The sequence below is a fragment of the Homo sapiens genome, chromosome 10, assembly GCF_000001405.40.
Source record: "Homo sapiens chromosome 10, GRCh38.p14 Primary Assembly".
In the NCBI taxonomy this organism is placed as follows: Eukaryota; Metazoa; Chordata; class Mammalia; order Primates; family Hominidae; genus Homo; species Homo sapiens.
In genome coordinates, this window is record NC_000010.11 from 5,292,404 (window position 1) to 5,308,783 (window position 16,380).

At 43.6% G+C, this 16,380-nt stretch overlaps 1 pseudogene; it reads right to left on the reverse strand.

Moving 5' to 3' along the window:
* On the reverse strand, positions 11,977-12,498 carry RPL26P28 (ribosomal protein L26 pseudogene 28; annotated as a pseudogene).

The following is a 16,380-nucleotide window of genomic DNA, read 5'->3' on the forward strand; positions in this document are numbered from 1 at the left end:
GTATAGTTTGGACATTTGTCCCTTCCAAATCCCATGTTCAAGTTTGATCCCCATTGTTGGAGATGGAGTCTAATGGGAGGCTTGGGGGCCATGGGGTAGACGCCTCATGAAGAGATGAATGCCCTCCCAGGGGAGGGGGGTAAGGTCTTACTCTATTAGTTCCCATGAGAGCTAGTTGTTAAAAAGAACCTGGCCCCTCCCCTCCTTCCTGCTTCCTGTCTCACCACACGATCTCCGCACACACCAGCTCCCCTTCACCTTCTTCCACACTTGGAAGCAGCCTGAGGCCCTCACCAGAAGCCCAGTCCTGAAACTTCCAGCCAGCAGAACTGTGAGCTGAATAAACTTCTTTTCTCTATAAATTACCCAGCTTCAAGTCCTCCTTTATAGCAACAATAAATGGACTAAGAGGGGCTCTAATCCCATTCATGAGGGTTCCACCCTCACGACCTAATCACCTCCACAGGACCCACCACCAAATAGCATCACCTTGGGGGTTAAGGCTTCATATACGACTTTGGTGGGGATGTAAAGATTCCATTCATTGCACAGGGCAAAGGGAGGCCATAGCAGCAGGGTCATAGTGTTCTGGGGCTGCTCACTGCCCCTCACTCCCAGGCCTGCCCCACCCCAGCCAAGGCCTTCATGCTGCTCTGGGCTACCTCTCCCAGGTCCTGCATCCCAAGCAAAGGTACAGACTCAATTGAGATCTCCTGAGACTCACTCCCTGCCCCTGCAACAAGATGGACATGTCCTTGTCAAGTTCTTCTCTAGGAAAATGTGGGCATCACATAGAGACTCGTACCTACCTGTGCAGAGGTTTTCCAGAGCCTCGATCACCCCCTCTGTCTCATCATTGGTTTCTGGCTTCAGTCTCACCTTCTTGGTGATGTCTTTGTCCCTGTGTCATTCTAATCAAAGTAGCTCCCCAGTCCCCACTGTGTCTCTCCATCTTACTCCTCAGTTTTAGTTCCTTCAGAACAATTGTGACCAGAGCAATTGCCTGAATTATTCACTTATTTTGTGGTATGTTTTCATATTTATTGACTGATTTCTCCAACACTAATCACCACACCTAGAAAAGCTCCCTAGTATGTGGTCAGTGCTCAATAAATATTTGCGGAATGAATGAAATTGAGTTCTAAGCATAGGCACAGTGGGGTTTTTTTTTTTTTTAAGTTTTTCTGTGCTCTGTTCTTATTTTCTGTGATCTGCAAACTATCTCTAAATCCTTATGAAAGATTGCGTCCAACACTGTTTTTTGCAGTGGGAAATTGAGAGGCCCATGTTGCACTCAAACAGAGCAGCAAAGCATTCGTCATCCCTCCCCTCAGGGCTGGGACTAACAGCAGGGCCTTCCTCAGCAGAGTACAGCTATGCCCAGCTGAGTGACAAATGCTCTAGTCAGAGAACACAGCAGCACAGGAGGCCAGCATGGTGGCCACAGGGGGAGTTCACGCGTGGCCGCTTGTGGACAGGTGCAGGGTGGCAGCCCTGAGGAGGTTCAGAACACCAGGGGCATCTTGAGGTAACAGCATCAGTCATGAACCAGGATATAAAAATCCATGCTGCTTATTTAAACAGGATGTGTAATCAGACGGTTGGAGTATCTACAAAGAAGCCAGTCAGGAAACAATAAAGCAACCCAGAGGCTTTTAAACACAGGAAGTCGCTACCCTCCTAGGCTAGAGAAACAGAGGTAGCAGTGCTGGAGGCAGAGCCCGGGGTCCCTGGAAGAAGCAGCAGCCATGGAGGGCCTGAGGGAGGCAGCCAGGACGACTGGAGGGATGGAAGCTGCTGCTGTGTCCCCTAGAGAAGGGAAGAAAGGCACCTGGACTCCAGCTTCCCTTTCTGCTCTCAGCAGCGCCTCACAGTGGCCAAGTCCAGCTGGAAGGCAGCAGGCAGAGAGGGCAGCACCCAGGGCAGAAGAGGCCGCTCTCCTGGGCTACAGCAGAGCAGGAGAGGGAGGAGGAGGGGCACTGAGCAGACAGGAGTGTCAGTCAATCAGGCTGACCCTGGCCCCGCATCCTCAACGGGATGTTAATGAAATACCGCCTTCTTCTGTAGTTCAGGCTGATGGGGCAGGAATGCTGGGTTATGTAAGTGTCGCAGTGTTCACTGAGGGGGATAACACGAAAAACTTATTTGTTCCTGGGAAAATTTCTTAAATCTCATTAAGGCTTCTTAAGCATTCACAAGATTAAAGCCACCTTTGCCAGAGGTTAGGATTAATAGGTGGGGCTAAATAGCCTACCTGAAATTCAGTTCCAGAAATATTTACTGAGTATCTTTTATGTGCAACTGTTCCTAGGTTTTGTTTGTTTGTTTGTTTGTTTGTTTGAGACAGAGTCTCGCTCTGTCGCCCAGGCTGGAGTGCAGTGGCGCGATCTCGGCTCACTGCAAGCTCCGCCTCCTGGGTTCACGCCATTCTCCTGCCTCAGCCTCCCGAGTAGCTGGGTGGGACTACAGGCGCCCGCCACCACACCCGGCTAATTTTTTTGTATTTTTAGTAAAGACGGGGTTTCACTGTGTTAGCCAGGATGGTCTCGATCTCCTGATCTCATGATCCGCCCACCTCAGCCTCCCAAGGTGCTGGGATTACAGGCGTGAGCCACCGCGCCCGGCCCCTAGTATTTTTTTTTAAATCAGGCATGTAAGAATAAGTCCAAGAGTTCCACATTCAATTTTGTGAGGCTATATCTTCACATGTTCCCTTGGGCTGGGACTAAAACAACAGCCTTCCTTGAAACTAGGACGTGGGAGTGATGGTACTAGGGCAATTGCATCATGATGAAAGAATACCCGAGACTGGGTAATTGATAAAGAAAAGGGGTTCAATTGGCCCATGGTCTGCAGGCTGGACATGAAGCATGGTGCTGGCATCTGCTTCTGGGGAGGGCCACAGGGAGCTTACAGTGACAGCGGAAGGTAAGGGGGGAGCCCGTGTCTCACACCACAGGAGTAGGAGCAAGAGAGAGCAAGGGGGGACAATGCCACACTTTACACAACCGGATCTCCAGAAACTCACAGCGAGAATGAACTCATCACAAGGGGATGGTGCTGAACCATTCGTGAGTGATCCAGTCCATGATCCAATCACCTCCCACCAGGCCCTGCCTTCAGCACTGGGGATTACATTTCTGCATGGGATTTGGAGTGCACAAATATCCAAACCATATCAGTACTTTTTGCTGAATTTTGAGCCTCTGGTCCCAGGGGTAAACACCTTCCCAAACTGTGACCAAGAAGACGAAGGAAGGGTTTCCTATCTCTCTGGGGCATGGATTACACCAGGGAAAAACATCAGGTGTTTGAATGCCAATGGCTCTGCCATTTGTAGATTGTAACACATGATCAGAAGAATGCAACAGATTGAATATCCAGCTTTGCTAAGGTTGCAGAGTTTGGTCTGAGCTAGGAGTCCACATTCTTCACCAAGGTCTTCCTCAGAATCTATGTCATGGGACCTGTGCTTGCTGAAGGGAGATAAGCCACAGCTGAAGGCACTCCAACTTCAGAGAACACAGCTCCCTTTAATACGGAAAAGCTTGCTGCTATCAGCACCCCAAGTTTTCTCCTCTCCCAGCCTTGGGTTCTCTACATGCATGCACTGCAGGAAAAGAGGAGGTACTCAGCATTCAAAAGAGCAGTCAGGAATAATGGCCATTATGAAGAATAGTTGGAGGTTCCTCAAAAAGCTAAAAATAAAACTACCACTTGATCCAGCAATCCCACTACTGGGTATGTATCCAGAGAAAATGAAATCAGTATGTCAGAGAGATATCTGCACTCCACAGCAGCCAAGATATGGAACCAACCTGAGTGTTGATGAACAGATGAATGCATAAAGAAAATGTGTTATATATACACCATGGAATATTATATTGCTTCTTTTTCAACCAATTTGTTATTGGTGTATGGAAATGCAACTGAGTTTTGTATGTTGAGTTGGCATTCAGCACCTAATTCCCCAGCTTCCTTCTCCTGTTGCAGAGCCTCAGGTTGGCATACCAAAATAACATATCACCCTGAGTCCCGGAATGTCCACCTAGAGCAAAGCCCTGGACACTATGAATGACAGACAGAAGTTCATTTTGTTAAGCTGATGAGATTTGGAAGTTGTTACTTCAGCGTAATTTAATCTATCCAAATACTCCAATCTTGAGTCAGTTGCCTGCAACCATGTTTGGTTTCAAACACTGTATTAGCTGGAGCTCAGTGCCAGAACCAAGAACTGTTCTATGCCTTTTAAGCAGAAATGAGATAAATAATTTTGGTTGCTTAGAAAACACTGGTAAGGCCTGGAGATGGAAGCTTAACATGACCTCTAAGAACTGCTCCAAGAACAGTGTGTACCTGACCCCGCACATGAGTGTCTGCACCTGCCCCATCAGGAAAGCTACCTCGGAAATCCTTGCACTCAAGAACATACCTCCATCCATAGCTACGATGGCCAGAATCGGGAAGCCACAGCCACACAGTGCCCTGGACACAGGAGCCCAGGAACCACTGCACAGCGGGTGGTGCAGTGAGTGTAGCCACCCCACATCTGCCTGTAGTCACCTTGGAAGCCAGAGGCTGTGCCTGCCACCTCTAACTTTCACTGCCAGCAGAAAACACCAAATGCCCTAGGATTTGGCTGCTGCTTCTTTCTGCCTTCCAACACTTGTGTGGGTGCTTCAAAATGGCAGAACCCAATGAGCATATAGAAGTCGTATTTGCAAGGTCTTTCCACATTGTCTTAACCTCTTTGTGCTTGGCCAGTTTTGCCAATGTGCATTTATTTGTTTATTCAGTTTGATATATCCTAATCTTGTGATTCCAGAGAGTGGAATTCATTTGGCTTTCTGTAAGTTATGCTGCATTTCATTAATTGCACATTTTTTCACGTAAAATGAAATCAGGATGCAACTTAAAGTTGATAGCATGACATAAGTTAGTTGGCAGAGTTTTTTCTTTCTTAAGTAGTATATAAAATAATAATGCATCTTACAACTGTCAGCATCTTATATTTGAAGAACCCACATACCCAAGAGGGAATGTGGGCCTGCCAACACCTCAATTTCAGACTTCAGAACTGTGAGAGAATAAGTTTCCATAGTTTTAAGCCACCCAGTTTTGGTCAATGTGTTATAGCAGTTCTAGGAAACTGATGTAAGTGTGCATGAGGCAGGCAGGAAAGATGATGCCAGAGAGAGATTACTGTGAACAAAGCAACAGGATGTGAAATAACTGGTGTTTTCGAAACAATGAGACAAATTTAGGGTGGCCGGCATGAGGCAACCAAGAGTGGAATGGGTGTGGACAGAGGCTCCATCATGAGGACAGCCTGTGCCTTTCAAGGGATAGCAAAGCAGGCCTGACCCCAGCTGCTTTCACTGGGAGGGCGGGAGGCCTCAGAGGGCAACCCAAATGTTCCACCAGGTTCAAAGCCAAGCCACAGGGAGGCATCAGCCTGACAAAGAAAGGAAGGGGGAAGTAATCGGGAAGAAGCAGAAGACTGTTCCTACCAAAAGCAATACTAACAGGACAACAGGTTCATCATTGTTGGGAAATTGACCAGGAAAAAGTCACCAATGATGGGCAATGGGGCATAGTTGAAGACACAGGGGCTAAAGATTCCAGGGCTCTTCACTCAAGCTTATCTTTCTTTCTTTTCAATATTTGTGGGAGACAGACCACACCACAAAGAGACATGAATATCACAGGCATTTTAGTCTGCAGATTTAATATTTGTAGATGAAGCCATCTTTCACAACCTCGACAGGTATACCGGGCCATCGTTCTGCCAGGTCAGTCCCGCAACCACAAGGAAGAGGACCAGGAAAGAGGTTAGGGGAAGGAGGCACCCCAGCCATGCAAAGGCAGAAGATATTCTTAGACCATGGGTCCCAGGAGCTGCACAGTGAAGGGGTGACCACCAGCTGGGTTAGTAATCTGCTGTAGAAACTTGTCAGCTTCTTTCTTGAGGTTTATAGATTTCTCTCCTTAACATACACACATGCATGTATGCACATACATGCATACATATACACCCATACACACACATACACATACATATATGCACATATACACATACACTCAAACACATATACATACATGCAGACACATATACACATATACACATGCATGCATATACACACACGTACACATACACACACTGTGATGGTTAATTTTTTTTTCTTTTTTGAGATGGAGTTTTGCTCTTGTTGCCCAGGCTGGAGGGCAATGGCACGATCTCAGCTCATAACAACCTCCTCCTCCCAGAGTCAAGTGATTCTCCTGCCTCAGCCTCCCGAGTAGCTGGGATTACAGGCATGTGCCACCACGCTCGGCTAATTTTGTATTTTTAGTAGAGACAGGGTTTCTCCATGTTGGTCAGGCTGGTCTCGAACTCCCAACCTCAGGTGATCAGCCCGCCTCGGCCTCCCAAAGTGCTGGGATTACAGGCGTGAGCCACCATGCCTGGCCAGTGGTTAATTTTAAATGTCAACTTGACCAGGCTAAATGATGCCCAGATAGCTGGTAAAACGTTATTTCTGGGTATGTCTGTGAGGGTGTTTCCAGAGACATTAGTATTTTAGTTGAATTGACTGAATCAAATTTTGAATCTGTAGACTGAGTAGAAAAAAATCACCCTCACCAATGTGGGAGGGCATCATCCAATCCTTCAAGGGCCCACATAGAACAAAAAGGCAGCAGAGGGGCTGACTCGCTCTCCTCTGGGAGCAGGACGCCCACCTTCTCCAGCCCTTGGATGCTGACACTCCTGGTTCTCTGGCCTTCAGATGGACCGGGACTTACACTGGCCACTCCCCTGACCCACAGGCCTGGGTTTGGACTGCATTGCACCACCAGCTTTCCTGCATCTCCTGCTCACAGATGGCAGTTCATGGGACTTCTCAGCACCCCTAATCCTGTGAGCCAATCTCTCATGATAACTCTCTTTCTACACCTGTAGCTAGATCTCCTGTTAGTTCTGTTTCTCTGGAGAACCCTGACTAACACACACCCTAGAGTGGCATCCACCTGCCTGCGAATGCCTACCCTCTTCTGTTCCCTACAGTTCTGCAGCGTTCACAGACCACTGCTCAGAGACCACAGGCAGCACCACTGCCCAGGCACAAAACATGTCTGCTCAGTTATGGGAACTCCTTCACAAACTCATCAATCAGATGGCGATCAGTCCCTTCGCTGCACCCTTGACAAGCCAACAGTTTGTTCCTTCAAAGAGATTAAAGCAAAACAATGGGTTTATTACTTATCTGTAAGTATTTCAGCTCTCCTTGCCAAAGAGTGTTTAGAAACTAGCTTTTGTTGTTATTTCCTTCAGAATTTTTTTTAATTTTCTTTTTCTGTTTTATTTATACTTTTTACAAATCAAGAGCTGACTTTCAATAGATCACAGCGAGGGAGCTGCTCTGCCCTGTATAAAGCCCTGACCCAGAAGTAGGTTGTCTACAAATGATTTAGGTTCACCATGAACATGCACTGTGTGACAGGCCAGATTTTCGATTATTGTTAGAGAATTCTTAAACATCTGTGTCACAATCTCATGTTTATTTACAGAACTTTCTTTCGTATCTTCACCAGAATCTCCCTGAGAAGAAAGCAAGCCTCTCACTCAAGTTCTCGAGATAGATAATTTCTCTCTTCCTCAGTTAGAACTATAACAAACCGGCTCTCTTGGGCTGTTCTTGGGCTGTTTTTGGAAAACAATTTCCCCAGGGAGTCCAAATAGACTCTCCCTCTATTGTTCTGGCCATTTAATGTTTTTAACAGGGTCCCCCTTCTCTGCTAACATGAGTGATCAAGGCAAGAATAGCTTGGAAAGTGTTTAAGTTTGGGGTAACACTCCACCTGACTAACAGTTGTTTTCTTGTTACTGTTGGGGTTGTTTTTTATGTTTTTGTTTTTGTGTTTTGTTTTGTTTTGTTTTTTTTTGAGAGGGAGTCTCACTCTGTTGCCCAGGCTGGAGTGCAGTGGTACAATCTCGGCTGACTGCAAGCTCCGCCTCCCGGGTTGACGCCATTCTCCTGCCTCAGCCTCCCGAGTAGCTGGAACTACAGGCACCCGCCACCACGCCTGGCTAATTTTTTGTATTTTTAGTAGAGACGGGGTTTCACCATGTTAGCCAGGATGGTCTCGATCTCCTGACCTCGTGATCTGCCCGCCTCGGCCTCCCAAAGTGCTGGGATTACAGGCGTGAGCCACTGCACCCGGCCTGTTGCTGTTGGAGTTTTTTTGAGACAGGGTCTCAATCTGTTGCCCAGGCTGGAGTACAGTGGCATGATTATAGCTCACTGCAGCCCCAATCTCCTGGGCTCAAGCAATCCTCCCACCTCAGCCTCCTGAGTAGCTAGGAATACAGTCACGCACCACCATGCCTGGCTGATTTTTTTTTAATTTTTAGTAGAGATGAGGTCTCACGATGTTGCCCAGGCTGGCCTAAAACTCCTGAGCTCAAGTGATCCTTCTGCCTCAGCCTCCCAAAATGCTGGGATTAGAGGCATGAGCCACTATGCCTGGCCATGAATAATAGCTGTATCTCTTCAGGGTTCACAGAGTCATTAACTTTTGCATTTTGTGGGAATTTAACAAGTCCTGACAGGCATAGCAGTATGCAGGATTGTAAATTATCTGAAACAATCATAAGGTTTTGTAGATTACAGAAAATCTGACGATGTTAACCTATCATGATCTATAAAATACGCTAGCTTTTGATCACCCCGGAAGATATTTTATTTTATTCCTCATTCTATTGCTGTGCCAGTGGGTCAAAGTCTCCTTCATCCTTTGCTCCTGTCAGTCTGTGTGTGTCTTCTCCCTGCATTTTGGTAATGTTTTCTCTTCACCATTATCTTGATAGATGCCCACCTCCTCATCCTATTGCCAGTAAGTTAAATACAATCTTCTTTGCATCCATCCCACATCCAGGGCAACTGCACGAAAACAGGCAGTGAGGGAAGCAAATATGGCAAATATCAAAGCCATAACTCCTACTTACCTTGTCAATTGCTCTGAGTAACAGCGGTGTACTCCTCAGAGAAATCCTGCTCATCACTGGAAAGTGTCCTAACAAACCCTATTGGTTCAGAGCATTGTGTACCTACACCTGAGTCACTGAGAACAGGACGCTTTCTTACCAAATAAACCTATAAAGTTCAATTACACTCTTTCTGGTGCTACCAAATCCATTCACCTGAATTGTAATGGGTTCTGAGTATCATAGACAATTTCACTTAAGTTGAATGCACATTTATAGAACATTTTAAAGTGTACAAAGCACTCTCAAAAACATGAACTCATTCATTGAAAGCATGCTTTCTAGAATCCAAATCATAGCTCTTTTCTTTTAAAATCCCTGGTGTTGTCTCTACATGAGATTGCTTTTCTTATAGAAAGTTTTAGAGCAAGACAGCTAGTAAGCCTTGATGTCTGCTGCACTTGACCTTGCAGAAATCAATATTATTTTATAATATTGTCACAATTATGACCACAAATTCATCTCTATACAGAAGACCCTGAATATATGCCAAAGAAAAAATTTAATCCATAATTCAGATTGTTCTTATAGCTAGGACTTTGAAATTCTTCAGGTGGTAATAATTCCAGTAGAAATCCAAGATGTTACATCTTATGCATATAATGCCTAATCAGATCCAGTAAAGGCTACATCCTTTTGAGAACATGTTGGGCCAACAGAAACTTCAAAACTGAAATCCAGAAACTCAACTAAATTTGTCTTTAGTGTTTCAAAAGCTCATGGGCAGCTGTCATTTTATATTTGTGTGGTATTTGATGTCTTTCTTTCTCCTTTGATTTTTCTGGAATATAACAAATTTAGTAACCTAGCAATGACCACTTTCTATAAGCCATCTCTACCATCCAAACAAAATTGGGATATCTTTACTTCCTGGCCAATTCCAGATATTGGCTACATTCTAATAGAATTTACCCTCATTTCCTTCAATACCCTCATCATTTAAAGGAAATTCTCTAAAATGTGTCGGTTCAAACGTCTCATAGATCCTTCAGTTTTCTTGCCAAATCACGTATGACAGTTTACTGACCCCTGATTTGGTGAAAGGGTTTGTAGTCTTTTGGGTACTCTTGCTCCCATTAGTCATTTTCAGGAGTTGGTCTGGAAATGTCTGCTGTCCCTTCAGAGACAGAGCAATATTATCTGTGAGTTTAAAAGCCAAACTGTCTCTATAATAAACATGTCACATATTAATCAAGGAGCTTCCCAGTTTTTACTTTTTCATTTATTTTTTAGAGATGGGGTCTCACTGTGTTACCCAGGCTAGACTCAAACTCTAGGGCTTAAGTCATCCTTCTACCTCAGCCTCCCATATGGCTGGGACTATAGGGGTATACCACCATGCCTAGCTGCCCTATTTTTTTTTTTTTTGAGATGGAGTCTTGTTCTGTTGCCTAGGCTGGAATGCAGTGGTGCAATCTCGGCTCACTGAAACCTCTGCCTCCCGGGTTCAAGCGATTCTCCTGCCTCAGCCTTCTGAGTAGCTGGGAGCCCTGAGCCCTTGAGGTCAAGGCTGCAGTGAGCTGAGATCATGCTACTGCACTCTAGCCTGGGAAACAGAGCAAGACTCTGTCTCACACACACACATGTGCACACACACAAAAATTAAAAGTATTGTCCAATGTTGATGTTAATTTTCTAGAACTGTAGTGTGCAGAATTCACTTTATTAAATTGATATTTCAACAAACAATGAATGTACATTTGTCCACCAGTCTTATTCTATTCATGATTCTTTAAGGATCATTGACTGTGGTTCAGCAACTTCTCCCCAGCTTAGGACCTGCAACAACTTCTATTCATTTCAGTCAACATTGAGTGGATTTCTAAACTGAACCAAAGGATAAGTACCTTTTTTGAACTTGAAGTCTGCTTTAAAATCATGTTATCTAGTTTATCTTCCAATTTCATTTCCCCTGCCCTTTTTAAAACCAAAGTATTATCTTTGATGGAGAAGATGAAAGGAAAACAGATGGGAGATTCGACTTTTATTTATCACCATTTACTTTACATGAAATTTTAAATCTCCATTTTCTCTCAACTGCACTGGTTTTTATGAAATATGTTAAAGCCATTTTTGTCTTCAAGTATGAAAGCATGAGCTCATTTAGCTTCCCTAGCAATGTGCATTTGGCCATTGCTATGTCTTGAATGTCTGTATCCCTCCAAAATTCATATGTTGAATCCTACCCTCAAGGTGATAGTACTAAGAAGTGGAGTTTTGGAGTTGATGAGGTCATGAGGATGGGGCCCTCATGAATGGGATTAGTGCCCTTAGAAAAGAGGCCTGCGGGAGCTTGTTTGCCCCTTCTGCCATGTGACAACACAGCGAGAACCAGGAAACAGACCCTCACCTGACACCAAACCTGCCTGAGCCTTGATCTTGGACTTCCCAGCCTCCAGAATGTTGAGAAATAAATTTCTGCTGTTTATAAGTCACCCTCTGCATGGCATTTTTGTTACAGAAGCCTAAACAGACTAAGACAGCCACGATCACTGTAATTTTTTTTTAAATCTTTTCCTTCACATTTGCACAATTCAAGAGCACGTGCTGACTGGGAGACCCTTCCCTTCCTTAGAGAACAGCGAGCTGCTTTTTCTGATTATGGAAGGGCTTATTTACCTGCCGTAGGATTTGCAATCAAGAACATTACCTTCCCCAGGGGCAATTCTAACCCCCCCACCACACTACTTTTAGATCAAAATAGACCCTCTCTCTTTTCACCTATTATTCACTTTCCTCTGATTAAAACAAAAAAGTAAAGGAGAACCAGTACAAGCCCACATACATGCACACACAGGCGAGCACACATACCACAAAAACACACTTATGCACCCATGCATACACACATGAACACGTACAGGCACACACACATAGGCATACAGACACTTTTAACCTCTCCCTGTACTATATCTGTGTTACATTATCCCCACCAGTTTTTTTTTTTCAAGTTTTAATGAAAGCTTGTATACAAGATTACTTTATTCCTGCATGTTCTCAATTGTTTCCTCCTTGTATTTGCCCTTTTCCTTTCCTACTTGGTGAGATTTGGCTTTCCATGCAAGGATCTTTTTGTGCTCTTTGCCCAGTTTTAGTCTACTGATAATCCCCTTGCTGGGGCGAAAGTCTACACGGACAGTTGTGTCATCAGCCTTTTCCCGCTGCACCCATTCAATGTAGATGACATATTTCTCTCTGTAAATCTGGACTACTTTGCCAATTTGCTGACCTTTATGGTGCCCTCACACAACCTGAATATCATCATCCTTTCAGACGGGCATGGATCAAACGTTGTACTTCTGTCTCAGCTCTTTGGAAAGAGGGGAAGACATAACTGTCCTGTGAATGTGGGAAGGCGCATTGAAATGCCTTTTGCAGTTACTACTTCGGTCAGAAGTCACAAAGGGATTGAACTTCATTTTGGCCACTCCCACTTCAGTGATGGCCACAAAGGGCCCCACTGGTTATTAATGTCTTTTTTCAACTCAAACATTTAAACTATATAACCTGGCATATTGTAGAAGAGAACTGTGCAGCATTAAATATTAGCATCTCACACTCGCATGAACAGAAATATTCAGATTGCAAAAATATACCAATTTATGAAGATTAATATTAACTCACTAATTTTTCAAAGACTCGCAATTATTTGATCAATTTCAGGAGAAACTATTCTATTTTTGCACTATGTTCATGCAAATTGCCTAAGACTCATCAGTTTCTGTTATTTTCAAATATAGAGTCACTGACTGATTCTATTAATATTCTGCCTCAGTATTTAAAAAAAATTCTCCTATAATAATTGGAAAAGTTAACAGAAGTGATTAGATTTGTCTTAGAGTGTCTCTTATTTTGTGAACCTTCATGTGAATCTTCAGTATCTCTTATTTTGTGAATCTTCATCATAATCTGAAGTATTCCCATTACTTTTAGGAAAAGAACCAAATGCTTAACCTGATCCTCATAAGATCGCATAATGTATATATCTCCGTATGCTCACTTTGTATTTTATCATCAATATTTGCTGCAACAAAGCAAAACCAACTTCCAAGATAAGGTCCAGCATATGTGGACTTCCCAGCAAATTTTAGTTAATGCTGCCGTCTAACGCCTGGCTCTGATATTACATCAGCTCAGGGTTTTAACCAAAAACAGACACAAATGAGGTCACCTAAGGAGACTTTAGCAACCATTTCCAAGTTCCCTTTGACTAGCTCATTCCACAGACGAGCAAACTGAAGCCCAAAAACTCAGGTCTTTCTCCCAAGATCACACAGCGAATGACCGTCAGAGAGAGTTAGAACACAGAATTGCTGTCTTCCCCCAGACAGGGCATGTGAGGTGTGACCACAGGGCTCTAGGGGTGGTGCCTCACCTGTTAGGCTTTCTGAAATTCACAAACTGCAAAGCATGGCACTGCCCCTAGGAATCTGTTACAGAAAACAAGGATTCTGACAGCTCAATTAAGAAGCAACCGGAATTCATGCAGCCGGGGTCCTTGTGAGAAACAATTTGCATATTATACCAGAAAAGATGGAGAGGTAGCAGAGACCAGGTGCTGCTCGCTTTTGTGTACTGAACTCAGGATTTCTAACTTAATCCTGACGATGACCAGCTATAGAAGGCCTCTAAGCAAATTGAAGAAGGTCACTCCGGCTCAAGGGTATAGGGCGGGTCTGGAGACAGGAAGACCAGCAAAGTTTTATTTTGGTAGTCCAGGGTACCGACGATGAGGACTGCAGGACCTCTACTCTTCTAGTTCACAGAGTGTATTAGTCCGTTTTCACGCTGCTGATAAAACAAACATACCAGAGACTGGGCAACTGACAAAAGAAAGAGGTTTAATTGGACTTACAGTTTCACCAGGCTGGGGAGGCCTCACAATCATGGCTGAAGGCAAGGACGAGCAAGTCACATCTGTGGATGGTGGCAAAGAGAAAGAGCTTCTGCAGGGAAACTCCCGCTTATAATACCATAAGATCTCATGAGACTTATTCACTATCAGGAGAACAGCACAGGAAAGACCCACCCCCATGATTCAATTACCTCCCACCAGGTCCCTCCCACAAGACGTGGGAATTCAAGATGAGATTTGGGTGGGGACACAGCCAAACCATATCAGAGAGCTAATGGGAAGATGGTATTATCAGGCTGTCTAGAGGACACAGGAGAAGGAGAAAGGGTTGTGGGTCCAGAGGAACAATCACTGTAACTGTGGACATGCTGAGCTCGAAGGTCGTTTACACAAATGTGAACCTGACAGAGCCAATCCTTCAAGATGGATCCCAAGCAGCTAACCAGGCGCAAATTTTAAATACAGCCAAGTAGCCATTTGTTGACTGGAGGTCACACAAGCACCGTCAGTTCCCCAAAACCCACACCTCTATTTAACTTTGGAACTTTCAGAGCTCACTTGAACAAACCAATCAGAGCTTACCTGAATCAATCAATTAGAGTTCACCTAAACCAACAAAGGAGAGCTCATCGGAACCAACCAATCAGGGTTCAGCTGTATCAACCAATCAGTGTTCAGCTGTGTTGACCAATCAGTTTGAAGTTTTCATTTGCATACTTGAACCTGATTGGGCAGAAACTTTTGCTATAAAACCTAGCCCCAGCTGCTTGGGAAGCTGAGGCAGGAGAATCACTTCAACCCAGGAGGTGGAGGTTGTAGTGAGATGAGATTGTGCCACTGCACTCTAGCTTGGGTGACAGCAAGACTCCATCCCTCAAATAAAAAATAAAAATAAAATAAAATTTAAGAAAACACCAAACCCTCCCTTTGTTCCCTGGAACACATCTTTGTTTACACCGGAGGCTGCATCTCCCTCGTTTGTCAGCTGTTTGCTGGAATAAAGTCTCTTTCCTCCAATTTCCTTCCCAGAGAACTTTTCCTTACAACCTTAGAAGACAGCCAAATGGAAATACTTAGTAGGTGTTGGAATATTAGGCTGAAGCTCAGGAGCAGGGGGCAGATTTCAGTTACAGATTTTGCACCAAGATACATTTAATGTAATTTTGAAAATTGTCGTAGTCATTATGTAATGAATTATGTAATAAAATTAAATAAGTTAAATAACTGAATAAATTAAATAAAAATATGTAATAAAAGTATGCAATATAATAATTATGTAATGTAATATATAATTTTAAAATCCTCATTGTTACACCGAGATAAGTCTGCCTTGGAGGCAGGTGGAGTTGCCCAGGAAGACTGTAGAATGAGAGGCCAGGAAGACAACTGGAGAACCCACATGTTGGCGTGGGCAGAGTCCACACAGGAAATGAAGGAAAGGCAGATCCATTAGAACGATATTGATAGGATCTCACATCGCAGAAGGGGGGAGCAGTTATGAGAAAAATATGCTCAACACTGACAAATGCTGGGGGAAAAAACTATAACTCCACACTGCCAACTGAGGAAACAGCAAGAAGCTGTTGGTTAAAGCCACCAAAGCTCCCGGAACATTACAAGTTGCCCAACGAAGAAGGGGCCAGTATGAAGAAAGGGAGAAGGAACACAGGGACCCCTGAGGCTGCATCCCAAAAGAAGATGACCATCCTAGAGGAGAAGGAGCTGTGAAATCCTCATTGTCACCGCAGCTTACTTTGCAGAGGGCACAGTAATTTTTCAACAAGTGAGGTGGGAGGTTCGAGAGGTCTAAGTGGGTATTCAAATCAATAGTACAATCTAAATTATAACCTGACTCTGATTTGGGAGTGTGGTGACTAATGTATTTCGGGAAGAAGATCATTGCTGCATGTGCCAAATGACAAACAGGTGACACAAGTTAGCAAAGTTTTTTGTTTTGTTTTTATTAAAGAATACTTAGTGCTAATGAGGATATGGTGAAATAACTGTCTACTCAAGAATGAAAATTAATATTAACCTTTTGTACAACAATGTTGCAATATATATCAACATGTTTACATCATTTGATATAGTAATTCCAATTCTAAGATTTTTAATTAAGTAAATAATTTATAATATGGAGTAAGCCTTATGTTTATCTCAGGGTTATTTATGATAGGAAAAAACTAAACTCAAACTAAATTTTTCATGACAGAGGAATTATTGAGTAAATTATGGTACACATTTCAAGTGGAAAATCAGGCAAATGTTACAAATAATAACTGAAAGTTTTTAATAACTTGGAGAAATAGTAATTATATAACATTAAGCAGGAGAAATAAGATATAAAATTTTATATGCATTATTACATCAGTTCTGCTTTTTTAAGTCCATATAAAAAATTCACAAGATGCCAAGTATAATGTTCTCTGCAAAGAAGAATTGAGGTGATATATTTCCTTCTCTTTCAAATTTTCCTTACTCA